This window comes from Homo sapiens, chromosome 17 (assembly GCF_000001405.40).
Source record: "Homo sapiens chromosome 17, GRCh38.p14 Primary Assembly".
Lineage (NCBI taxonomy): Eukaryota > Metazoa > Chordata > Mammalia > Primates > Hominidae > Homo > Homo sapiens.
The window spans coordinates 57,549,333-57,576,464 of record NC_000017.11 but is presented as its reverse complement, the minus strand read 5'-3'; the positions used below and the strand labels follow the sequence as shown (position 1 = coordinate 57,576,464).

General features: G+C 49.6%; 1 protein-coding gene and 1 long non-coding RNA gene across 13 annotated transcripts in view, besides 2 other annotated features; both read right to left on the bottom strand.

The window, feature by feature from the left end:
- The window catches only part of MSI2 (musashi RNA binding protein 2), a 445,731-nt gene that overhangs the window by 125,117 nt on the left and 293,482 nt on the right, over positions 1–27,132 (bottom strand). The gene's annotated exons all lie outside the window — the stretch shown is intronic.
- Positions 1,637–27,132, bottom strand: LOC107984993 (uncharacterized). Its single transcript, XR_001752947.3, has 2 exons — positions 16,536–27,132; positions 1,637–10,542 (listed from the first exon to the last, which is right to left on the bottom strand). It is a non-coding gene; the product is annotated as an uncharacterized LOC107984993 (long non-coding RNA).
- Positions 14,595–15,095: an enhancer, noted in NCBI's record as "H3K27ac hESC enhancer chr17:55638731-55639231 (GRCh37/hg19 assembly coordinates)". NCBI's record gives its function as "activates a minimal SCP1, AML or CMV promoter by ChIP-STARR-seq in naive and primed H9 embryonic stem cells {active_cell/tissue: H9 hESC(naive and primed)}" and the evidence as "EXISTENCE:reporter gene assay evidence [ECO:0000049][PMID:30033119]".
- Positions 24,057–24,276: an enhancer, noted in NCBI's record as "active region_12443". NCBI's record gives its function as "activates an Ori minimal core promoter by ATAC-STARR-seq in GM12878 lymphoblastoid cells {active_cell/tissue: GM12878}" and the evidence as "EXISTENCE:reporter gene assay evidence [ECO:0000049][PMID:35858748]".

The window sequence follows — 27,132 nt, the reverse complement described above, 5'->3', positions numbered from 1 at the left end:
TATGGTCTTCTGATTATAAAAGTAACATTCATTTTAGAGTCTTAGGAAATACAGAAAACATCTATTCCTACAACAAACATTCATTGGATACCTTCTATATGAAAGAATCTCAGCTGGGCCTTTAGGATACAATGGAGAGTAGGATCCAGCCCTTGCCTTCAAGGCTGTGAGAAGCACACAACCCACATTCTCCACGGCTAGAATGTGTGCAAGGAATAGAGTTGTTGAGCCTGAGCTCCAGGACTGCTGTTGGTTTTGTTCACCACCATATCCTCAGCCCCTGATAAGTGCCCAGCACAGAGCCAGTGTTCAGCAAATAATTATTACAGGAATCAATGGCTTTAAAGGATGGCCTTCCCACAGTGTCTGTCTTACAAATGATTCCTAAAAACTAAATCAGTTCTGACCAGAGGCAGTTAGTCCCAGACCAAGTTTTAAGTAAGAAAAATACGCCAGGGCTGCTTCTTCAATCCACCAGAGCCTCCTTTTCCAATTTTTTTTTTTTTTTTTTTTTTTTTTTGAGACGGAGTCTCGCTCTGTCGCCCAGGCTGGAGTGCAGTGGCACAATCTTGGCTCACTGCAAGCTCCGCCTCCTGGATTCACGCCATTCTCCTGCCTCAGCCTCCCGAGTAGCTGGGACTACAGGCGCCTGCCACCAGGCCCGGCTAATTTTTTGTATTTTTAATAGAGGCGGGGTTTCACCGTGTTAGCCAGGATGGTCTCGATCTCCTGACCTCGTGATCCACCCGCCTCAGCCTCCCAAAGTGCTGGGATTACAGGCCTGAGCCACCGCGCCCGGCTCCTTTTCCAATTTCTACCCAGAGCCTGGGCCAGGGGGAGTGGAATCTGCTTAGCTGAAGGTCTGAGGTGCAGGGGAGTAAGAGGACAGTGAGAAGAAAGAGCAGAAAGGAAGTCAATCCCGGGGTCCTCAGGCCTGGCCAAACAAAGCCATCTGCCTTGTCTGGAAAAGCTCATTTGCAAAGGCTTTGGTGAAAGTTCACATTTCTCCAGGCTGCGGCAGCTTGGAAGAGCCATGCAGCGACTGAAAGGTCAAACAGGAGATGCGCAGCACTCCACTCCCATTGAGCCGCCACCTAGAGCGGTGTCAAATGTGGTTTTGCCACTTCCACCGACAAGATAGGACGTTTGAGCATCTAGGGCAAATGATGCCACAGAAACTATAAGCCAGGCAAAACCCTGGATCTCCCAATCACTTTCTCTCCAGGAATAAGCTTCAGTGTCCATGGGCTGCTTGTGGAGGGGATGGGACCAGCCAGAACAGGGATCTGCTCCAGCCGGGGGGTGGCGGGGGGAGGGAGTTAAAAAAGAGAATGCGGCCGGGCACAGTGGCTCACGCCTGTAATTCCAGCACTTTGGGAGGCCAAGGTGGGCGGATCACGAGGTCAGGAGATTGAGACCATCCTGGCTAACACAGTGAAACCCCATCTCTACTAAAAACACAAAAAATTAGCCGGGCGTGGTGGTGGGCACCTGCAGTCCCAGCTGCTTGGGAGGCTGAGGCAGCAGAATGGCGTGAACCCGGGAGGCGGAGCTTGCAGTGAGCTGAGATCGTGCCACTGCACTCCAGCCTGGGCGACAGAGCGAGACTCCGTCTCAAAAAAAAAAAAAAAAAAAAGAGAGAGAGAGAATGCAGAATTTGTGTCTTTGAAGGCTGGCAGAGCCATCTGTCCTGCTCATCTCTTAAGACTGATGAAACCGAAGCTCCACAGTAGTTGGTAGAAGATAGATGGCAAAAGCTAGGACAGAACCCACACTCAGAGAGAGACCCTTGCCCTACAAAGGGTCACCTACTGCTGCGCCTAAAGGCTGTGCCCCATATGACACATCCAGCCTGGCACACATGCCAGCCTGACACATCCAGGCTGGAAACCTTCTAGGAGAGACTGGGGGTGGCCACCAGAGGCTCAACCATGGGGACACAGGACCCAGAATTGCATCCTTGACCTGGGCTCTGTGGACTGGCCCATGGGCTGGCTTCTCCGCCCTGCCCCGCCCATGCACCATCCTTCTGAAGGAAGACATCCCCATCCAATGGCCTGTGCTACAGACTCATGAGGGCCTTTGCACTCTGGTTCTTAGCTCCTGGTTTTCTGCCAACCAGAGGTATAATGGACTTTCTTATTTTATTTCATTGGCTTGTAAAGGAACATAACCAAATAGTGACGAGAGAGAAGCTGGCAGTGGTGGAGGCCTCAGCAAAGGCTGGAGAAAAGCCAGGAGTTAAGTAATGCCTTGGCCATTAGCTTTCCCCAGAGGAGCAGCGGCATTGCTGGGGCTAGGATGGAGGATATGAGGGGTGGGGCTGGGGAGACACAGATGTGCAGGGGCTGGAGTTCCTTTCCCAACCTGGGACTGACAAATCCTAGCCCAGGGAGGGAGGGGTAGAGCTACCTCCTGACTTGTTCTCCTCTAGGATGAGCCATATTCCTTTCCCCGCCTGGCTTTTCCTTCTTATTAGGTTGTCATCATTATCGTCACAACCACCACCACGTACTTGGCTTATAAGTCCTACTCAACCCCTTCATATGATGATATCTAATCCTTCTAGCCTGCCCTCGCCCTCAAGGCAAGTAATGTTATCCCAGTTAGACAAATGAGGAATCAGATGCTCAGCAAAGTCAAGTCACTGTCCATGCCCTCCTTCCATCAGGGAGTCGCTGAGCTGGGATGTAAGCCCAGGTCTGTCTGTCCCTAAAGCCTGTCACTCCTCCATCAGCCCCTGGAAGATCAACCAAAATAAATGGAAGGCTTAGTGTTAACACAGCCCTGGATAAGCTGCCATATAATAGAGGCCAATGGCTGGTCGGTTATCCTTGCTGATAAATGTGGTGGCCCAGGAACTCAGCAGGTCTGGAGTGATGGGGGTTGATCCCCAGCCTCACTCTATGGGCTCTATCACCCTGAGCAACTCAGGTGACCTCAACAGGCTCAGCTTCCTCATTGAGGGCAGAGATTTCAGCCTGGGTGGTTCACTGCTGAATTCCCTGTGCCTAGAACTTATTCTCAATAAAAATTTGTCAAATGAATGAATGAATCTGAAAAATGGAAATCCCAGTAACAGCCTCCCCACCTGGTTTATTAATGAGTGATAATGTAGGAGGGCACTTGGCACAGAGCACGACACATCCTAAGGGATCAATAAGCAGAAGTTGCTGGTCATTAATACTATTATTACATATTATTATAACGCTATTATTGCTTTTCAAGGTCATTATAGGGATCAATGCATTTGGGAAATATAAATGTAAGGCAATATCTTTACAATAACTAGTAACCAATGCTGACAAATAAGGGCAGACACTGACAAGTGGTCCCCATGAACACCGTACCGCCCACCACAGAGGCATTCTAGGAGACTGCCCTCGCCTTCCCATTGGACATGTGCATCTGGACTCTACGAGGGGGCACTCCTGCTCCATCCCAGGTCACTGTGCCCATGTGGGATCCTCAGACGGAGTTGTCGGGCACGTCCACACTTGCACAGCAGTTCCAGTGAGAATGCATCCTGTTACCTTTGCATTGGTCACCTCATGCCCATAAGTTACAGCCATCTCAGCCTGATCTCCACTCGGTTTAGTTAAAAATAGAGTTTACAACAGAAACCTGAATCCAGGCTCCTCTAAATCAGGACGGCGGGGAAGCAGGTGCTACCCAAATGTGGCGCCGTGCTGACGAATGGAGGTCGGCCGAGCTCAGCTCTCTGCCCTGAGCTGGTGGGTGGCAGCCTCCATAGCAGAGATGCCAGCTCTGGGGAAAGGAGGGCTCTTTACACAGAAGGCAACACATTCCCTCCAACGTGCTAGCCTCCTTCGATTCAATCAATATTGGTTTAGCACCTGCTTATGTGCCAGGAGGTACCTGAGGCTGCAGCCATGTCTCAAGGTGACAAAATGGACAAAGACAAGCAGACACAGAATATCTTGAATTCAGGACAGATTGCCTTAAGGAGAAAGGCAGACAGATTGGACTTTTAAAAGCAAATCGTCAGAAGCTAGAGTTCTGAGACCATGTCCCACAAAAATTACTGGGCGCCAGCCTTGGGCTCTGAGGCTCTGCAAATTCCTCTAATCCCAGAGGCTTCTATGGCAAGTCCTCACTCTTTTCCAGGTTGCTGCTGCCAAATACCATCTTGCTTAGCGAACCCAAAATTTCTGGAACAGGGTGAAGCTCAAAATAATTCTCACAGTTAGACTCACTGGGACCTAAATAGCTTTGCTGATTAAACCTCTGAATCCTTATTCAAACCTGCGACATTCCTCCTTGGTGATGCCAAATCCTTCATGCTTCCCAGCAGGCTCTGGCTTGAGGATCCGATTCTGCTGCACACACCTGTCAGGGTCACCTGTCCTGACTTGGCTACGATCCATTGATTTACTCTTTGGCACGGCTGATCAGCTTTCTAGCTCCCCCACCACACCCACTGAAGCACAGATGAACAATTAGTTGGCCTAATGATAAAGTACCCTTCCTTAGGGGTCTGGAGAACTAGGGTGGGTGTAGGTGGGATTGAGAGGACATGAGGGAAGTGGGCATTTGCAGAGAGGGAGGGTTTGGGACCCTCTCCTGATGTGGGCGGGGAAGGCAGAGGCACGCAGTCGGCTGTAGAAAGTATTGGCTTTCCCATTTGGTGTAAGCTGCTCACCTGCCCAGCTGGGAACAGAGAGGAAAAGAACAGAGGAGTGTCTGGATGTGCTCTCAAAGTGACATTATTATCATTACTATTACTTTCCCACTGTCTTTCCAAACCCATTCCTGTAGGTTATTTCACTTTATCCTTACTATCATTCGATGAAGTATCTCAAAAAGGATTATCCATTTTAACCCAAGAGGAAACTGGAGTATAGACTAGGTGACCCTTGTCGTTGACCACACCACGAATCCAAGAGGAGAATATTCAGAGAGCACAAGAACCAGAGGAGAATATTCAGAATCCAGAGGTACGTGAGGTAAAGGCAAGGTAAAACACTACCAGGTCCACCAGAAACCCATCTCCTGGGAGGAGCGGGGCCTGGTGGGGGCTGCCACATTCCCTCAGAGCATCTCCCCTTCCTGCATCCTCCTGTCTCATGGTTCTGAGGTGGCAAGGTCAGGCCCCTCAGCCTGAAATGCGGGGAGAGAAGACTTAACAAACGACAAAAGCAAGTTGTGGATTGATTCTCCCCTTCCCAGGGCGGCCTGCCCCTCCTCTTCAACAGTGACAGGCAGTAAAAGGTTAGTGGCATGCTTCCTGCCTCTGGTTCCTCGGAGCTAAATGATCAAATGATGTCAGGACTGGGCAAAAGCTCGATTCCTAGTTAGAGCCACCACAGCTCCAGAAATGAAACTTGGCACAGCATCCCTCTGCTCAGAGGCTCTTCACTGGACCCAATACATCAACAAGGCGGCCAATTATGGCTGAGTGCACACTCCTACCCTGGTCTTTACCCTGAGCCCACCTGTGGCTCAGGCTTTGCTCAAATCTGCAGGGGGAGGGGCCCCAGAGGCCGTCACTGCTGCCCTGACTGCCTTCTTCCCATGCTGGTCTTTCTCCCAGATGTCCTGGGAGGAAAGCCAACCCAGCCAGGACTCACACACCTGCCTGCCAGATCGGCCTGCCAGGAACCCCCATATAAGAGAGGATCCAGCAGCCTTCTGCATACCATGCATCCCAAGCTGCCAGACTCTGGCGACCCTGTGAACTCAGGTCACACCCATATGAGCAATTGCAGTGGGCGCCATGCTGGGCCTCCCACTTTGTCTCAAATAGGTTGTTTTTGGTTGTTGGCTTTTCTGATAAACAATCTGAATAGGCATAATGGCCTCATCACCAAGAGCATGAAATAAATCCCCAAATTAACAGAATCCCAAGGACTGGGGACAAGAAGGCAGGCAGGGAAGAGTGTTGCAGAGAAGAGATTCGACTTGGGTCTCCAGCACTGTCCATTTTTACCTGCTGGAAGAGACCCCTGTTCTCATCATAGCTCCTATGCTCCCTGCAAAACCGTGGATAACTCACAAATAATTAAGGCACAGATTTCAACCCACCCCATAACTCCTCTACCAGAGAAAACCACTGGTGAAAGTGTGGAGAATTTCTTTCCTTCCATGAATACTGCTTTACTGCAATCACTCTCAACCCAACCTGCATATCATAATCACCTGGGGGGTTTTAAAAGACAGGGATGTCCAGGCGCCACCCTCAGAGCCTCTGATTTACTTGGTCTGAGGTGGGGCCTGGGAGTTGGTCTTCTCTAAGAGCTCCCCAGGTGATTCTAATTCTAATATGATTCACAGCGTATATAAATTTTATAGCTTTTTTGTGCAATACTATGTCATCGGCATTTCCACGTCATTTAAAAACTCTCTGTAAACACCATTTTAATGGATGTGTAATCATCCATCATATGAGCGTCCCATAATTTCCTTTCAGTTTGCTTTGTAAGTGTTCTCCTGAGTGTGTGTCAGCCGTGGCTCGTGTCTACGCTGAGGACCTCCCTGTAACTCCCAAGGCAGATTTCACACCCTTTCCCACTGATGGCAGATGCACTCAGAGGCCCAGGGAGTGGCCTCCTGCTACACCATCTTAGGATCCTGCACTGCACCCTAAAATTCTTGAGAAACTGGTCATTTCAGCCAGGAAGATAATTTTGGTTCCACATACCCAGAGCAAAGACTTGTGTGGTTAGGTGGGTTCCATGTTAATTCATTCGGGGTCCAGTTTTCCCTGTGAGATCCTCATGGAATTTCCACAAGGCTCACTGGTTTAGGATAGTCACCACCTTAAAAAGTATTTTTCAATCTTTTCACTTTGGACCAGAAATTAGGTCAGGAGCTGATTCTTCATCTTCCTCTTGCTTCTTCCTCTAACATCTTGAAAAATCTGCATCTCTCCAGAAATAGGTGCCTTATTAGCCCAGGCTTGCAAGGTGCCCTGTTTTGGAGCCTCAGGCTCAATCCTGGAAGTTTAAACTCTGAGGTGAACTCCTGCAAATGGAGGGCTCATTTCAGAAGATTCTCATGACTCTCCTCATGACCACAATGTCCAGCTTTCAGAGATCCATCAGCAAGACAGCTGCCCGCAAAACTCCAGGCTGGGGCAGAGATGCCTTTTCTACTGTCCTCCTTCCAGATGTTCTAGGAAGGAGCAAACACCTGGCAGCAAACTGGAGCCCATTTCCAATTTGAAGCTACCAGTTTCCATCAGGGAACTATCAGGCAAGGCCCCTCTATTTCCCATTCCGGGAACATCTGGCGAATAGATGATTAGAAGCACATGCTGGCAGCTACTAACATGCTTCCCAGCTAAATCTAAGCTTAGTCCCAGGGGCCCTATCTCCCCTCCTCTCTCTAATCCACCGTCCCACCCCATTCACCTCCCCACCCTAGCCTTGCCAAGCTTTACTGCAAAAGAGATGTTGCACCTGACCCATGATCTCCCAGACACAGTCAAAAAAATTTTTAAAAGAGGCTACAACAGGAAACAATCTCCCCAAGTCCAAGGTAGGTCAGGACATTTCTCCCTCTGTCCCTCCTTCTCCCCGGTACCAGCCAGGCCCAGGTGTGTTCACTTCTACCTGCTAACCTTTCCTCTCTCACCAATAAACACCACCACAGTGCTCCAGCCCCCTGGAGGCCCACCTTGGTGTAAAGCTTGTCATTTCCACTCAGCAAGCATTACGATAACCAGGCCACAGGTACTCCCCTCCTTTGGTTGAAAGTCTATGGCAATTTTAACATGAAGGAATGTGCTGAAAAGCACCCTCTAGGAGTTTAATAACACTCATTTGCAGTAAACCGGGTTTAGTGTGAAGGCCTCTATCAGGAAAAAGAATCAATAGGGAAGAAGGGGATTAGAGGTGGAGGCTAGGTGTTAACTGTTAGGACTTGAGCCATTAATCAGCAAGAAAGTTCTAGAATCAGAGTGATCTCACCACCTCCTGCTGTGAGGCCCTTTGGGGGTCGACCACCTTCTACAGGCCTCATATCCTAAGGCACTAGAGGCACGAGAGTCTTTGTTCTTGATTGGGGCAAGATCTGGGGACTGAGACAGGATTGTGCCACTGGATTATGCCATGGCCAGTATTTTCCCTAGGGGCTTCTCATGATCCCAGCCTTGAGTCACTGTCTTGTGTCTTGTGCCCACCTTATAGATCATCCCAACTCACATCGAAATGTCCAAAGGAGTGGAAATATGGTTAAATATAATTTGGTGAAAAACTAAAGCATCTTTCATTTTCTATATGGCATCCTTGTGTGGACCAAGAGGCATTCTCCCAGCCTAAGGAAGAAGGTTCATGTCCTCACGTCCCCTCTCGGAGAGCAGTGACTTCATGCCACTCTCCTGCACCCAGCTCCCCCAGCCTTTATTTCAGTTTGTTTCCCAGTTGCAGAAATGCTGAAAGAACATAGGTCTTGGAGTTAGATCAATTCAGGTCCCAATCTCAGAGCCACCACTTATGGGATGTCATCAAATCCCGCTGTGCCTCAATATCTCCATCTATCAAATGGAGACAGTAATACTACTCTTGCAAAGGTTATTGGAAGGATTCAGTAAAGGTATTTATTGTAAGCTAGGTGCAGAGCAAGGTGCTTAAGACTTCTGTCTCCTCCCTTCCCCTTCCCATAATCTGTTGTAACTGTAGACAGAGAAGCCTGCTAGGCCAAGGAGATGAAGAAGGATAAATACATTCCACCCTTCCCTGGGGACAGGTAATCAGATCATCTCTGAGGCAGTGGCCCCATCCACCAGGAAGACCCCCGACTTCCCAATGCCTGGGCAAGTACTGAGAGGAGCCTGGCCACTCTGCCGTCTTTGGGGTACAGCCCTGTTGGAAGAGGCACGCACAGCCCACTGCAGAGAGAGACTGGCAGTCGCCGGTTAACTGCCGGTTAAGGCAGCTGCACTTTACAGTAACCCAGCATGGACAATATTATGAATGACACTCGCAAGCTGCCAGCCCAGGGACTCATTACAGTCAAGGTACAACATGGCGGCCTGCCAAGCCCCTGGCTTTCACACTCGCTATGCCAGAACATCCACACACAATTTAATTGCATTATAATTTCAAAAGTGCTTTTCAAACTGGAAAAAGGCATTCACTGATTAACCAGCGAAGAGCAAAATTGTTTATGAAATTGAATACAAAAAGCTACAGAAATGTAATTGGGTCGTTCTAGCACCTAATTTTCAAGCCATTTTCCCCACTTATTTAATCACGAGATACAAAAGGAGCGACTGAATTGACTTCATACTAATTAGATTACTCCCTGCGATACTCCGGGCCTATATTCCAACTGGTTGATAGCAATGTTTTAAACGGAAACAAAAATGGTGCAGCAGCCTGTCTGCGGGACAGAATGGATTGTCTGGAATAGACCCTTCCATCCATTAATAAGAACGAGCATTTGTCCCCCAAACCTCCCAAGCTCCCTGCTACATGGAAGCATCCTTGGAGAAACATCACCCTCCAGGGCACGGATAGGAAGACTCATCAGGTCCTTCTCCTACACTCCCTGGAAGAATGGGTTTGAACATGCCCCTTCTATTAAATCCTGCCACCTCCCCAGCGGGCACTGCTGCTTCACAGGCAGGCAGAGAAAGCCACCAGCAACTCTCCTAATTGGCTGTACGAGGCCCTTGGTGCGCCTCTGAACACTCCTCCTTACATTGTTTCATAAATTGACTGGTGGCCCCAACCAGATCGGTGGCAGTCTCTCGGGCAAGCCCAGCTTCGTTGAGTTCTTTTCTCAGCTCTGCCTTGAGCTTCCTGAGATGAGCCAAATCCTCAATCTCTCAGTTACTGAGTGAATAAAACCACGTTCATCCCAGAAAGCAATGCTGCGCTATATTCTGTGTCTTGAAATGATACCTCACTCTGCACATGCCCTCTACCAACACAAATCTAGTAAGCTATGATGACTTCTGCACAGGTAAACGCAGGAAATACCGGGCCCCAATGCCTGAGAACACCAACATGTGACCCAGGGGGCCAGGGCTTCCTTCCATTCATCTGGAGACCTTCTTTTGATATGTGGTACTGTCTTCTCATGGCTTTTTTAGCTCATTTTAAATTTTATTAGGAGAAACATAATTGATTATATAATCAAATGTAAAACGTACATTATCAAGATATCTCAGCACTTCGCAGACCATTTAATCAAGATATCTGGGGCTGTGCCAAGAGGAATTAACTTACATTAAGCCTCAAGTATGTATTACTCTGCTGTATTTGTTTCCACGTTTAAGATGGGTCTTGCTCCCTGAGAATGGGAGCAAATCCTTCAAGGACTGTGCCGTACACAAGCTCTGGGTCTGAAGGTCTTCCGTGCTACTTCTCGATTTCTCCAAATGAGGAGAAAACCCAAAAGGCCGCTCTACCTCGAACCCTATCTGCAGATGTGACATCTTCACACAGCCCCCGATTTCTCTTGTCTTTAAGGATGTCTTTGGGGGTCTGCCCAAGTGCCCCAGCAATACACAGCCGGCCCAAAGAAGAAAAGGGGTTTTCGCTTCCATTTGCTCTTCGTAAATCGCTACTCTCCCTGGGAAAGTAAACAGATGTTACTTAGGAGGCAACAGGGGTGTCTCATGTCTACAGCCAATTTTCACCCAACCCAGGGAGCCCGAGAAAGAGGAGAATAGCAAGAAGGGGGCATCTGCCTGAAATGCCTTCCCTTCCTCTGCTTTCAAAGCCTAGGTGGATACAGCTTCAACTGCTCCACAGAGCTGCTCCAATGAATGCATTCACTCAGTAACTGTCTGCTGAGCCTGGCTGATGTGCCAGGCATGGGTGTTAGTCGAGGGGGTATAAAATAAAACATGTCTTTGTCTTCAGAGAGTGCCCTGTCCTTAGCAGGAGAGGGACAGGCAAGCAATCCCAACACAAAACTGGTAAGGCTGTGATGGAGCAGGACAAAAGGAAGGATGACTGTCTGCAAGAATGCAGGAAGGCTTTCAGGCAGGTGGCATCCACCTATTCTAGACAGAAGACGAGGCCTCCAGGCACAAAGGGGCAGGGACGGACATTCCAGGTGGAGACAAGGGCAGGTGCAAAGTCAGGGAAGCCTCCGGGAGCACTGAGTGCACTGAGAAACTACAGGCAGGATCAGGTGACTCAAGATCAGGGAATGGTACAGCGTGAGGCTGGGAAGGCCGGCTGGAACCGAATTCAGATGCTGTGCTTATCCTACAGAAAAATGGGAAATCCAGCATGATCTCTTCCTTCTCTGGAAGCATCAGTGCTATCTAGGCACAGTGCCAGGCACTGTGGATTGTACAAAAAAATCCTTAGATGCAGATGGGGTGGCACAGCCGAATACCAGGCACCCTGGCTCTCAAGTCAGACCACCTTTGATGCATATTCTGTGTCTTCAGCAAGTAACCATGTCTCTGAGTCTCAGTTTCCTCATCTGTCAAAGAGGAACTCTGTGAGGATTAAATAAGGCAACATATGTAAGGTACTCAGGACAGCATCTAGCACTGTTAGGTGCCCCATAAACGGCTGTTGTTAATGAAGGTGGTGAAACAGATAAACGCACAGAATGGTAACCAACAACCCAAGGCGTCACGATTGCGCCAAGAGGTACTGTCCAATGGATAAAAGGCTGTATGTAAGTGCCAGTGAGTAGACAAAAGAGTGCAGCAGGGGTTCATAACTGCATTACTCAGTACCTACTGTGTGCTCGCATCATTTATTGAATGAACAAGCAAAGGAAATACCATACAATTTAGCATTAACCACATACTTGATGAGACTCCCAATTCCAAAGGTCAGGGAGACACTTTATACATCTGTGCACTGTGCTGGACACAGGCTGCAAGCTCCATAAATGCCCTAAATAGTCTCCTATTAGGGCTGGAGCTCCCCTGACAGCAGCACTGTCTCCAGAACCCTGCCCAGGACTCAGACTGCAATACTGACTTTGAGTAGCCATGAGATGGGTAGAATGGCCTCACCATCATCATCACCCCAACCTCGTGTGCTTACTGGTGGTTTCCAGGCCACCTCACTTGGACCCACTGAGGCCCAGAAACATCAGAGCTTCCCCCAAAGCAGAGGAAGGACCCAAATGCATTCAGAAATGTCCCCAATTAAAAAGAAAACCCTCTAAGGGCACAGGGCAGAGGATGCAAGCCACGGCCATACCATTGTTAACTGGCTCCTAGGAGTCACGTGATGCCTGATTACAAGGCGACCTTCTGGGCTGTCCTGGGCCAGTGCCCATAAATATGTTAGCTCCTGGGCAATTCTTAATTACTGCTGCACTCAAACCCAGCCATCTGTGCCCTGTTCCAGCAAGAAATCCACAAACACATGGCACGCCCTTCACACAGGCAGAGAGGATGGGCAGCCAGGGACATGGGGGCCTTTGTGTCTTGAGCACAACAGTATCAGCTGCACAGAGAGAAACACGTGCAGGGGGCTGGCCATAAAGGACGTCCTATTCATCAGGCTGCGCTTGGGAAATGTGACACGCCTCAGAGGAGGTGCCCAGGCCCATTCTGGCTCAGGTGGGCTGTTCAGCAGAGCGTGTAACAGGCCAGACAATGGGATCTTCCAGAACCCCTTCACCACAGCATCTTTAGGGAGGGCGGAGGGCCTGGGGACTAGGAGGTGAGGGATGAAAGGAAAATGCAAACTCTCCATTTTGGAAGCAGGGTCCATCTGTACAGAGGCCTATGTGTGTGTGTGTGTGTGTGTGTGTGTGTGTGTGTGTGCGCGCCTGTGTGTGTGTGAGAGGGAAAGAGAGAGAGAGACAGACAGACAGACAGACAGACAGTCAGCCACTAAAATGGGGCCATTATGGGTATGTTAAATGCTGGAAGGCGAGAGTCCACATTAGGAAGGACTGGAGATTACTGACATGGATTGTGCTTTATCCAATGTCATTCACTATTTTGGGGATAGAATGGAAATGGGCCTTGGGGTTCTGATCCTGGGCCCAGAGCCCGCTTCCCAGCTTGGTTCTAGCTTGCCTGGGATCTTGGGCAGTGGCCTACCTGCTCTCAAGTTTTTCCATGTGTACAAGGGTCCTTATCTCACAGGGCTGTGGGAAAGCCTGAGTGAGTATAAATGGTCCCCAAGTGTAGGGCTGGAGAGAAACAGAACTTTCCACAGGAACCAACAGGAGAAACAATTAAATCACTAAAGAGAGCAAGCCTCTAAGGTGTGCAGCCATTGGTATGAAAAATGGTCCACGTGGATGGGGTAGGTGATGAGAAATGACTTAATGGGTACAATGTATGTTGTTCGGGTGACGGATATAAAAAAAATCCTGCTAGACCACTATGCAGCCTATACACATAACAAAACTGCACATGGACCCCACAAATCTATGCACTGTTTTTTTTTTTTTTTTTTTTTTTGGAGACGAAGTTTTGCTCTGTCACCCAGGCTGGCGTGCAGTGGTGCGATCTCTGCTCACTGCATTCTCCACCTCCTGGATTCAAGCGATTCTCCTGTCTCAGCCTCCTGAGTAGCTGGGATTACAGGCATGCGCCACCACACCTGGCTAACTTTTGTATTTTTAGTAGAGACAGGGTTTCGTCATGTTGGTCAGGCTGGTCTCGAACTCCTGACCTCAGGTGATCCGCCTGCCTCGGCATTCCAAAGTGCTGGGATTACAGGCATGAGCCATCGCACCCGGCCTGTACGCATTTTTAAAAAAGGAAAAAAAAATAGTCCGTGTGCAATTCACACACCAAGACTTATCTCTCCATTCGTGCAGTCCCTGAGGATCTGATTTGTTAGCCACCAGTTTGCCTGTCAGTGTTTGCAGTGACTACATTTTTTTATGTTGGTGAAATGAAAACAGAAGTATTTTTTTTCCCAACATAGTATTTTTAAAAGATGGCTCTCCTCCACCCTCCAGAAAGCTGGCCAACAGCATGTGCAGCAGTGGGTGCATTCTGCTGGAGAGCTGGGACCCACTGTCGCGTGCTACGACAGCACAGATCTAAGAAGGGCTGTGTTACGCAGCTCTGCACTTCCAGTCGCCTAGGAGAGGGAGATCCCTGGTTTCAGGCCACAGGCAACACCAGTGCCCAGGGTAGGAGTTGCTTGGGACCAGCAGGCAATGCCTTTGCTAAGAGAAGAATGCTTCCTCTGTGTATGAAAGCACCATGAGAAGAGGCCTGGGAAGTACGGTCTTAGAAATGTCTCTAGACACATAAGCTTCTTGGCCAGGATCCATTTCTGAACATCTTGAGATGCCACAGCACTTGGCTTACCAATCACTGTTTACTGGATGTGCGGATGGGTGAAGGGATATAAGGATGGATGGATGGGCAGATGGATGGGGATGGATGGATGAACGGGCAGATGGATAGATAAATGGAAAACAACAGCTGCTATTTATTGGACACTTCTATATATCAGGCTCTTTATATATGTTCCCTCATTTAATCTATAGCAATCACATCTGAAGAAGTGTTCTTATCCCTGTTTTACAGATGAGGAAAATCAGAGAGGGTCAGAGAGGTTAAGTAGCTTATATATATAATAAGTAGAAAGAACCGGAATTTGAATCCAGGCCTGTTGGGCTCCAAAGCTGCAAATTCGAATAACGTCTGAACCAATCCTCTCTGGGTGCCAGTTTCCTCATCTTTAAAATGGGGCCACTGCCACCTGCTATTGCTTAGGTAGGCACCTTCCAGGCCTCTAAAGTTCTCATTAAACATGCAGCCGATCCCCTCTGGATAAAGGGGTGCTGCTTCAAGAGGGGCGGCAGAGACTGCTCTTGGGCACACGCTACCATTTCTTGGAGCACCTGGCTGCGGGTTTCCTACCTTTCTGTCGTCCTCACAGCTCCCCTGCCTGTGGACTTCTGGCCCATGTTTCCTCATTAGCACAGCCTCCTACCCCAAAAGGGGCCCAGAAGATCAAAGCAGCAACTGGGCAAACAATTCTTATTGCTTCCTGTTTGCAGTCTGGATGAAAGGTCAGGTGGGGGTGGAGGTGGGAGACAGTCTCTGACCCGCTAGTTCAAGCACAATTCACACAGGATTTCTCAGAATAAACCGCACAGAAATGGATATGCTGGGGTCAGAAAACAGCAAGACGGGAGAGCAAGAGCGGGGATTTTTGTGATATCTGGGGCCTGCTTGGGGCTGACAGGCCTCAGGGACTGAGACATGGGTGACGCAACTGCACATACAGTGTGTTCCAGGCAGGTGGGCAAAAATATCAAATGTTCCCACCCTCCACCTAGACAGAACCCTGTGCAAAGCTCCCAGGCCCACCCACACCGCCATCTCTCCATCTCAGGGCTGTGGTTTCATCACTTCGCTTGGTTTCTTCTGGATTGTGAGGTCTCTTCATGATTGCTCAAGAACAGACAGTGCAAGAACAAGAGGTTTCCATACTTGACTCCCTAAATGTGCACATCAGCCTGTGCAGAGGGCACCGACCTCACCGCCATTTGCTTCATCAGCTAGATGGGCTCTGGAAAGTCACCATTTCCCCTGAAGCAGGGAGCAGCTCCTTTGGAGCTGGGAGGATGGTGGGCTTTCCATCTTTCCACCTCTATTCCTGCCCCAGTTCCACTGGGGCGAAACTGGCTTGCCTCCTTTCCTGGGATGCTCACAGAACAGAAACCCACAATGCATTACTTGGCAAAGATTAAATAACCAAAACCAACCTGCAAGGCATGCTTGTGCTGGTGGCAACCACCGCCTTTACTGAGCTGCGAGGAACCGTACAGGCATTGCCCTAATGACTCCTCTCCATACCGGCAGTAATTGTTAATAATAGCAGCATTATTATACTGCTCAGAAACAGCAACATCAGTAATAAATAATAGCAGGCATGTGTTACTGTTACCCCATCTTGCAGATAAGGAGTCAGAGGCTCTGAGGATTATATAACTGGCCTAAGGTTGCTCAGCTGGTAGGTGGTTAAAATCTGGGATTTCTAAAAGGCAGGCTGATATCTGAGTCTTTGTTTCCCAACCACTCTTCTCCCAAAACGTGGTGATCTGGGGGTGGTGGGAGGAAGTAGCAGAGAGAAGAGTTTTGAAAATGTCCATGAAGCAGACCTTGTAAATCCCCATGGAAGTGGGTGGAAGTGTCCCCACCAACCCCGCTCCAGGGCTCCTCGGAGGGGCACGGGTTACTGCAAGTCCCCCATCCCAGGAGTTTCAGTGGAGGGGCTTAGCGCCTCCAAACTCTCCCCCTCCACCACCCCAGAAAATATTTTAAAAGAACAAAACTTCCCCGCAGAGACTGTGAGAAAAGCCAGCTAGCAGGGCAAGTTATGAAGATGTCATTACGCAATGAACTGCTTCCGTGGACCATAATAGGTTTTTACCTTTGCTACTGTACTACGAGAGATACCAAACAGCAATTTTAAACAGTCTCCTCCATTGCCCCATCCCAGCCTTCCAGAATCACATGTGTTTCTACTTTAAAAGCTGTTAACATGGTATAATATGTTCGGAGCACAAATCCAGATGGCCACGGGCCTCAGAAAACCCGCAGCATCCTGCTGAAGAACTGATCTTACAATTCCACCGACCAATAGCAGTGAAGGAGTTACCTGCACAGGTGGCCCGGCCCAGGTCTGAGCTGCCTGCTCCTGCTTCATGAAGCCCTGCCTCTGCAGGGGCACGGGGCAGCCTGTGGAGACGTCCACCACTTGGCCATTGTGGCCAGACTCTCTCCAGACGTCCAGTGGCCTTGGCCCTTCTGCAGACACTGGCTGTCTCTGAGCAGAAGCTGGAAAAATGCACTGGATTTGGCTTCCTGGGGACCAGGTGCAGGAACAAAGCCAGGGTGCAGGGACAGGCATCCCTTGGGTGGCAGGCTGTCGTCAGCACAGCTGGTCCCACACAGTCCCCTCACTTTCCCTCACCCCAGTGCCTGCCTGGTCAGTGGCTCTCAGGGGTGTTGCATGTTCACCACTAGGATTCTATATGGCTATGGATGGGGCTGAGACAAGCACTCGATGCAGGAGCCAAAGTCACTCTGCTACCCATGTGTCATCTTCTGCCAAGAACCACACCGTCCAGCCAACCCCAGCTAGGGAAGTTGGTATTGCCAATGGGGCTGCAGCTGGTCTGGAAAGGAGTCCAGGGAAACCACGCTATCCTCAAGGCGGGAGCGGATGAGACAGGAGAGGAGAGAGGGGGAGCTGATAAACAGGACATCGGGGCTTGTCCTCTTTTTACTCCCATCCTTCTTATTTCCTTAGCATTAACTTTCCAAATGCTGTCCTCACATGGGCGTGTTTTAGCCCAAACTCTCCCTCTCAGGTTGGGAGACAGGGTTCCATCTCACTTTGTGCTTCTGTTGATGTCTGTGTCTATTCTGGGTGTAGGTAATGCTGCTTTTGTGGTTCTGATTTGGAGAAGGTATGAATTAAAATGATGTCAAAGAACTTCTGATTTCTTTCTTTCTTTTTTTTTAGATGGAGTCTCGCTCTTGTCATCCAGGCTGGAGTGCAGTGGTGCCATCTCGGCTCACTGCAACCTCCGCCTCCTGGGTTCAAGTGATTCTCCCGCCTCAGCCTCCCGAGTAGTGGGGTTACAGGCTCCCGCCACCACACCTCGCTGTTTTTTTTGTATTTTTAGTAGAGATGGGGTTCCACCATGTTGGCCAGGCTGGTCTCGAACTCCTGACCTCAGGTGATCTGCCCGCCTTGGCCTCCCAAAGTGCTGGAATTACAGGCGTGAGCCACCGCGCTTGGCTGAACCTCTGAGTTCTTGATACATGGGAGGCAAACAGACAAACTGGGAGGTTCTGTGATTCAGGAACTCCATGAAGAGACAGCGGGATCCAGCAAGCCTCTCTTTGCTCTTGGCAGGGCTGGTGCTTTATAACTGGCAGAAGGGCTGGTCTGGGCTGAAGAGAGGTCAGAGGGCTGGGGCAAGTGACTTAGAGTCGTGGTTTTCTGTTGTGCCACCAGGAGGGATGTGTCTCCAAAAACACACGGTGAGCGGCAGTTCAGCCAGCCAGGGTCTCATCCCCACCTCTAGGCAACACGCTGGGTGTCATCAGGCCTCCAAGAACTCAAACTCTAGGGGAGGTGCAAACCCTCCTGACCCCACTCACTTACTCCAGGATGCGGGGCCTCAACAGCAGAGGCGAAAGGGGAACCGACCCTCTTTGTTATTTGTTGGAAAGACACTATTTATAGCTCCAGATCGTTAACTGCCTTTTTAAAAAGACTGTTCTCGGGGCCATTTTTAGAGCATCCGTCTTCCCTCGGATGGCTGCGTGGTGACTAGAAATGGCAGTGCTGAATAGGTGCAATTACAGAGGCGCCTAATACGCTGAGACCATAACGGCGTGGAATTTCTCTTTGTAATCTAAGCATGTCCTTTTCCCCCAGAGCCTTTATTTAAATATTTTGTCAGCTCCCCACGCCAGCAGCAGGCAAGCTCCGTCTTGAGCACTCTCAGAAGATGGGAGGAGGCTGTTATGAGAGATGCCACTCCTAACTCCCTCATTCTTCTTGACAAAATAAATCATGAAAGCCAAGAAGGAGGGTGTGTGAGGGCAGAGTCAGCTGCAGCCCCGGAGGTCCTCAGCACCCAAGGAGATGACGCTTCTTTCTGGAATGCTGACAATTCGCTGACTTAGCTGCCTTGGTTATGGACCTGAACATCTAGAAGAAATATTCAGCGCCCAAGAAAACAGTTCTGCTCTTTTAACCCATTAACTCAGACCCAAACTGGGGCTGCTTCTCATCAATGGTATTTCAGAAATTAGGGACTGTGCACTCCCAAGAGATGCCTCAACGAAACCTCTGCTCCCCATTCCCACTGGGGAGCGAATGTACACCTGCCAGACTTCCACGCAGAAAGCCTTGCCTTGGCATGGGCACAAGGGGGAACACCCCAGCCCAGGGCTGTGGGGTACCAGCCAACAGCCCAGAGAACCTGTCCCTGGCCACACACCCTTCAAGGCAGGGTTCTCCCTGGGTAATCCACACCTTCCAGAGTACACAGCAAACAGAAAGTAACTGAGAAGTGAGCTGGGTGGTGATGGCATTGCCAAATTCATTCCAAACTTGTTATGCATGAGAGTCTGGCAGGAGCGGGAAAGGGGGCTTTGGCCCCTGGGGCAGACCCTGAAGACTCCATCATGATGTCTTGGGAAAAGCCTCCAGGTCCTGAGTGACTCCTGTGCTTTTTTTGTGTGGAATATTCCTGGACTCATCTTGCGTAAAAAGAGGTAGCAAGATGCTGCCCTGGCTGTCCCATGTAAGTCAGCCCACCTCCCATCTGGTTGCCTATGACTGAGGAATTCTCATGCAGGCGGCCTGCCCCTCATCGTTAACGTTTCTTAAGAAGGTGATATTTCCGTGTACCATCTGCCATGCCTTTGGCTTACCCCTCAGTCTGTTCACTCCTCAGGCAGGGATGAGGAACGCTATTATCGGGCATCTTGGCGATCCCAACAGTGGGCTCCATACTCCATGCCCTGAACCATCTTGGACAAGTCCCTTCTCCATTTCAGGCCTCAGCCAATCCACCTGTGAAACAGGGAGATCCCACACCCGGTGCTTCCACTGAGAAGGTGGCCATGACAGCATGCATTACTAAACACCAAATAAGGCCAGACATTATACATATATTAATTTGGGAGGGTAAACATAGCTGCTAATTCAATTTCTCCTTTCTTTTATTAGTACTGTTGGGAGGATCTCAAGCTGTCACTGAGTGGGTAAAAGTACTTTGTAGATGGTTTTACCTTAAAGATATTAGCTAAAGAAACAAAAAGCTCTGAACATCAGGTGTGACCCTCGTCATAGTGCCGCAAGCCTCTGCAAAGCCTCTCTCCCAGTAGTGAGGGCCTCATAAACTCACTTAATGGCAAAGACCCAACCAGCCAATCAGTCCACTTGCAAAACAATCCTATGAGCTTGCCTCAGGAGCCCACATGGGCTCTGAGTCCAGTGACAGGAGGCTGTGATGTCACTGGACGCCCTGACCTCCCTCCCACCCCAAAGACTGATGGCAGCACAGACACGTTCTGCCTCACAGACTCACATCCCTCGTCTGCCCACCTCAAGGAAGAAGTATTCTTACATTTCTAACTGATGTCTCAGGGAAATAATTAGATGTCACTACTCTAACATTACATTACAACTTCCCTGCAGATCCTGGAGGAAGGGGAAATGAGTTACAACAAGCAAACCAAGCTAAATACAGTTGGTAATTGAAAAAGTGGCCAAGGAAATCAGGAGGGGAAAAGCGAGCAAGCCAGACCTAAACGGATTATCAATCATTTCCTTTTAGGGCAAGCTCCACTGCAACTTAATCAATTGCTATTGCTTCCCAAATTCAATAAGAAAACTGATACTGTGGGGAAGAAGGAGAAAAAAACATTAAATGTTTACCATTACATTCTTGATGGACACTGGACAATGTCCCCCACTCAATTCCAATCCAGTTCCAAGCTTATCAGCATAAAAGAAATTTACAAGCAACAAAACTCAGATAATGTGTCACCATTACCACTAACAGTGTAAAGTGCCTGAGGCATGGTCTCCAGGCATCATTGGGACATGGGGTTTAATAGTCACAACAAGTGGTGGTTCTGAGGCTGGGCAGCCTGTCCTGGCTGTAGGGAGAGGAGGATGCCAGGTGGGGCCCCAGGAAGGTAGTTGTGTGACCTTTGGACCTCCAAGGTCTCAAGTCACTTGGCCTCGAGGGGCTGCAGCATCTGTTGCCATAGCAACCTGGTGAGGATAAACACCATCACTCTTCTGGTTAATAAGCATATACCAAGTACCTATTATGTCCCAGGTACTGGGGACACCAAGAGGAACAGAATATGGTCTCCTGCAGTTAAGATCCTCATAGTAACTGGGGGAGTCAGTGTAGGGAAATAATGATGGAGGCATGCTCAGGGGGTTCAGGAGGGAGGAAGGGGCACCCATCTGAGGACCCTCAGGAGTTTATCAAAGGAAAGGTGGGTAGGGGTTAATATGTGCAAAAGTTGACAGGGAACCTGGCTGGTTGAGGAGCTGCTGGGGTCCCTGCTGCGCTGAGCAGGGAACCCCAGCGGACAGGGAATGGAGAGGTAGGCTCCATCACGCCTACCCTGGAGGCCACACTGAGGCGCCTGAGCAGGCAGCCACTAAACTTGGCACGACCAGAATCACATTTCAGAAAGATCCCTCTAAATGGGTCACAGGCCTGGAGGCAGGAGTCCCCGGAGAGTTGCTGCTCTGCCAGGGACAGATGGGATAGGTGTCTGAAACAGAGCATGGCGGTGGGTGCAGAGGACAGGGCGACCCAGAGCTGGCGGTGCGGACGCTGGCTAGATGTGTGGGAGATGGGGCCCGGGCTGAAGCCTCAGGTATGGCTTGAGCAACTGGGCACCATTACCCAGGAAGGGACATGGGTCAGTGGGGCAGCCTGGGATCTTAGCCTAGCAGCCCTGCCTCCTCACACTGCCCTACTTCTCACCCACAGGAAGCAGAAATCTTTCCAAGGAGCTCAGCCGAGTGCCCAAACACAAGGGAGGAAAGGAGTAGGAGAGCAGAGTCCCAGGCTCCCTTGGAAGTCTCAGCAGGTTTGAGCAAAACATCCCAGCAGGGGCTGCAGGCGCTGCTCATGCCTCAAGAATGAAAATTCGAGCAGCAGGAAGGGATGGTTGTGAGTCTGTAAAGATATGGCCCACGGGCCAAAGCCCAGGCTTTATAGCCACACCTGTTCAGACCCTAGCTCTGTCATTGGCTGTGTGTCCATGGGCAAGTTCCTTAACCCTTCTGTTTCTTCATCAGAAAAAACAGGCATAATAACAGCTACACCACACAGGGTCAGCCTGAAGGTGAAATGAGATAAAGCAAAAGAATTGCTCAGCCCAGTACACAGGCTTACGGAGTGCTTAGCTACTGTCTTATCATCCTTGTTAAAAACAATAACATCATCCCGGATAGAAGGCAGGTGTAGAACATTCCCTCATATCTTTCAACACCAAGGAGGCAGGAAATAGAGCTTTTTAACGCTTCCCAAACAAGCGCGTGTGCACACATTGACTACTTGCTGAGGAGGAGAGGGGGGATGGTGTCTCAGGACGCAACACCCCAGCCTCACTGGAGCAACTGGCGGCAGATGCTGGCGGCTCTCAGCTGTTCCTTCTACTTGATGGAGGGTGACTTTGCAAGTAACAAGGCTCTCTAGTAATGCTCCATAAAACTATGAATTTACTTTGAGAGCACCAAGTCTAATTACCTTGCCAAGACTCTCTGCATTTTTAAGAACCATCCCCCCCCTCCCCCGCCCCAAACTCTTGATCCTAAGGACTCTTCTTAGCAATACTTGGTGTCGTTCTTGTTTCGCCTGTTGCCGTGGCAACAAAGCAGCGTTTACCAGCCTTTCCAAGCTAGTACATCTTTATTAGCACCCGGATCCCATGAGGAGCAGGAAGGAGTGCAGAGGTTTAAAGAGCATTAATCCCCTTAAGCTTTGCAAACCTCTCTAGTTAGGGAGCCCATAAAGGGGCAGGGAGGGAGGGGAGAATTGAGGTCTCTGCCATTTTCAGGGCCCTCCTAGAATTGTTAAGCCTACATGAAGGACCAGACTGAAAAAACTTCTCTCTCTGGAGCTTTGCTTTAAATTTCTTCTCTTGAAAGAGACAAACTTGTGGGCTGCCTTTGCTTCACAAGAAAAGTCGGCTACCCATCCATCACAGAAGGGCTGCCGGCTCTTTCCTCACCGCCTCTCTGACCACACTGCTCTCTCGCGATAAACACAGGACTTTCAAAAACAACCGGTTATCTCTTGGCCAGGAGGAGGGATGGCCACAAAGGCACATGAGCTGGGCTGCCCGTGCACCCTCCTCTCTGCCCCTCCGCGATGAGAATCGAAGGATGATTCAGAGCCGAGATAGATTTCCAGTCTATTTCAAAAGAAAAAAACGGACCTCAGAAAGCTGCTCAGGAAAGCTCCCCCATCTCCTTAGCCTCAGCCTGTCTTGGAAGGTTTTTCAAAGTCAACACCAGGGCAGAAGTGGGAAAGCAGGGAGAAGAATGGGATTCTTAACATCATTTAAAAGCAGCTCAATGTCCCAATCCCCCTCCCACCAAATAAACGTCTCTTTCATCTTTCATCCCAGCCTAGAAAATCAAAACCTGGCTAGGGGTCCAGGAAGACCTGTGGCTGAATTTTGAAAAATTGCCGAGTGAAAGATGATACATTCATTCTGCCTTCCCAAACAGCTTTCAGTTTGGGCTGATTTTGCACTGGTCGAGCCTTGGCATCCACTATGGTCCCCAGTCCAGTGCTCTGTGCCCATGAGCCTAGTTCAATCAGGACTACTCAACTGAAGCGCTGAGCCCTCGAGTCTGGCCTTGGGGGGCTCATGCTCTAGCTGCGGGGATGGACAACCAAAGGCTGCATTTCCAACACTGAGGTTTCTGATGCCACTTTTGAATAGGCCAGGCGTCTCTCATTATTCCCAGTGGTGCCAACATTCTCAAAACAACAACAAAAATTTCTGAAGTCACTGGAATCCTTTTTCTACTTTTGGTGGGGTAAAGAGTTCATTCAAAGACCAGTATCAGCCTCTCAAAAGAGAAGTCTCCCAGCCCACGCCACATCAGCCCTAAAAAGCTTGGTTCTTCCACTCTGTGAATTCTAGGGGCAGTGATTTCCGGGTTGTTTATATTTATGTCCCCACTTATTTCCTAAAAATACTGAGGTGTCTTATAATGCTTAAGCACATATAAAACTGGAAACTAAGAGCATGAATCAAAGCTGTAAAAGATGACCAGTCACAGAAAGAAGAGACCAGTGTTCCCCCATGTTGGGGCTCAGAGAGGGTTGGGTGAAGCTCAGAAGCCAGAGAATCACCTTCTGGTTGTAGAAAAACTTCAAACGTAAGTTTGAACCAGAGGAAACTTGCCAGACTGTCTCTAACCAAGGAAGCCGTTGCTGGGCAATAGGGATTAAAAAAGACACTCAGAGATCAAGAAAGCCCATGAGCCAAGACCTCCGGGGATGGAGGCAGGTCCAGGACGGCGACACCTAGCGTCTGGCCCTGCTACTTCAGGCCTAGGCTAGAGCGTGCCAGGAGGTGGAAGACCCAGGGGCTGGATGCAGCAGGGCAGTGAGTGGGGGGCTGGGTTGGGGGGTGCTGGCTGGTCTCCATAATCAGAGACAAGCAGCAGGCAGAAAGCCAAGCTCAGTTCCCAGGACTCTCTCAGGAAGGGAGTCAGGAATTACAGACCAGTGAACATCACTCTGAACTTCAATTAGACCGCTGCAACTCCCCCATGGGTTATGTGCGTTACTCTGTCCCGTTAGCAGTAAAAACCTCACGACCAGATGGCCTGAGGGTCTAGTGAGGAAGTCGGGGGACAGAGCCCTGGTGTGTGGCCAGTCCTGGGGCAGCAGCAGGAGAGACCTGCTGAAGGTCACATGAGCTGGGTCCTTGAGCCCCAGGACGAGGGGCTCTAGGTCCAGCACATTCTCTGTTCCAGAAAACCCCTCTATGCAGCAAGTGGAGTAGGAGGCAACCCTTTGGAGCTGAGGGATCCAGGGAAGCTGGGCTATTGGCTTGGAGTGAGTGCTCCAGCCAGGGGGAGAAAGGTTGGGTGGGCACAGGCAGGGCATGACATCTGCCTAAGCTTCTCTTTCTACAGGAGCGGTCAGCACATAAAATCACCTCTAGTCAATCCTTGCCCCAAGCAATGGACGCCACTGTTTCCAGCTTTCACGCCCGTGATCTTTTTAAATCCCTTCCTTCCCACCTTTAGAACCCAGTGAGAAGTCTCATATGCAAATGGCCAACTGGGATACTTCTTGTTATTAACCTCAACACCTGCACTTGAAAGCTAAGACTTCAGCAGTGGGTGGGGGAAGGGCGGTGGGGCATGGCAGTGCAGGAAGAGGGGGGTGTGGGAACACCAGTGTGTGTACATGCATGACCCCATGGGTGCACCTGGGGCTCGGCAGACGTCATGCAGCAACTGGCACACATCAGGCACCTGATTTCTACCCTCGGCTGAACAGCAATTTCCAATCCAATAGCAACCTCATCCCAGACGGCGGTCTGTGTGCCTTCTCCACCCACCTGAACCTACCTCTCCACCTACAGACCTCCGCCCTCCCTCCGGCAGCAATCCCCGAGGCTCACACCAAGCCAGGAGTCTGTGGCCAAGCTGATTCTCCAGCCCAGGTGAGTCCAGTGAGGACCTACCCGCACAGGAAGAATTCAGGATGGAGCCGGGGCAGGTTCAGCCCCTGATCTGGAGACCTTATTTAGTCTGAGACATAATATTGCTCCTTTTGTCCCCTATCCATTTACCTCCCGGCACTGAAATAAGGGGACTTTGATTCCCTCCCAGTTCATGGCTTCATTCAGAAAGCTCCACAGAAGTAAGCCATTATGTGAGTTCTAAGCCACTTTGAATAAACCAACACAACTCCTTTCAAAAAAGCACCGGGAGAAGGTCATTCATGTGAATAATAACCATTCTTTCTCTTTAATCATTAAAATAAATAAATTCAAATTACATCTCCAGAGAGCACCCATCCCCCCATCAATTTCTGCTCTTGAGTTTAATAGAAAAATGGCTCCTGAAAAATTCTCCTGTGAAGTGAGGCTGGTGTGGAAGACGCCAACACAGTGCTCTCATTCAGAACACTCTCGAATGCAGACTGAATCAGGCCCTAGACAGAGGGCTACGTGTGTGCCTATGCGTGTTGGTCTTGGATGTGCGAACTGTCTAACCCTGCTCTGAGTTTTCCTAGGAAAAGGAAAAATGTCCTGAACCTCGACTCTTCCCCAGGCTGAAAATCTCCAACATTTTCCAGCCCGGCTTCAAACCTGACAGAAAAAGACAAGGGGAGACAGGTATTAAGAAAACGGAGAGCTCGTTTGGATTTTTGCTTCACTTCTGATTCTGTCCCAAAAATTACTTTTGGAAAAGAAAAGGTAAAAAGAGGCAAAACAAAAACAAAAGTAAAAGAGACATCGTGTTCTTTCCCTGTGACCCCCCCAAATCCAAACCTTGCTATTTTAAACAATGAAAAGCACAGTGTGTGAGGAACAGCTTGCATATAGCTGAAGCCAGCATTATTTACTTCAGGTTTCCTATACTAACTCAATTTTTACTTCTTAAGCACTTTTGTTAACAAAGGAGAAGAACAAGTCCCAAACGGGGGTGTCCGTCAAGGAGATCTGTGCTTGCACTGATCCTGAAGGTCGCCTGGGATGCTGTCCTCCCCAGGCTAGCTGCCGTAAGGCCTTGACAACCACTGCTTCCTGCTGCCAGCCGGAGCCACCAAACCCAAGCTCTAAGAACAGTTCTGCAAGCCCCCTCTCCCATGCACTGATAGCACTTAAAAGGGGCGTTTGTCTTCGGCAGCTATTCTCGATCCTATTGAGATTTCTAATTAGCTCAGAAAAGACCGCATTCACTGACAACTAAGGCGGGGATGGGGTAGGGAGAGGAGACAGGCAGGGTGGCTTCCCCCAGCTCAGGAGTGACCACAGCCTGTGAAGATGCTGCTCCTGCTCCAGCATCAACCCTCCTCCAAATGCTTGGATGCCTGTCCAGGGTCTCAACTGACCTCCCTGCAGTCAGAGGTTGCTCCAAAAAGGGACCATCTCCAAGCCTCTCTTGAACTCCCTTCTCTACTCAGCAAGGCCTTGGGCATCAAGCTAAGATCTCTGCCAACTACTGATGCCTTGCCCCTGAGTACAAATGCAGGAGCCCACCTAGGGGTCAAGGAGCTATCGTCAAACAGGATTCCTGGGTTCAAATCCCAATCTCCACCTCCTACTGGCTGTGTGACCTTGGTCAAGTTACTTAACCTCTCTGAGTATCAGTCACCCATTAGGTAAATGGAGGGGCTAGACTGTAAACATTAAATGTGGGGATGTATGAAAAAGCCTCAGCAGTGCCTACAATGACTATTCTCATTCATCCATTCACTCGAACCATTATATTCACCCAGCTCCTAATCTGCAAAGCTAAACGGTATTATAGCTGAGGATAGGGTGAAGGTGAGGTAGAAAGGACAGCAAAGAGCTATCACAACAACAGGGTCATGGTAGTGAGCAACTACCGGAAATGGAAGGAAAACAGTATCCCTTCTCCATACTCTCAACCACGACTTTAGTTGCCGGACAGCAGCCCATGCTGGGCACTGTGCAACTAAACCCATTTGTTG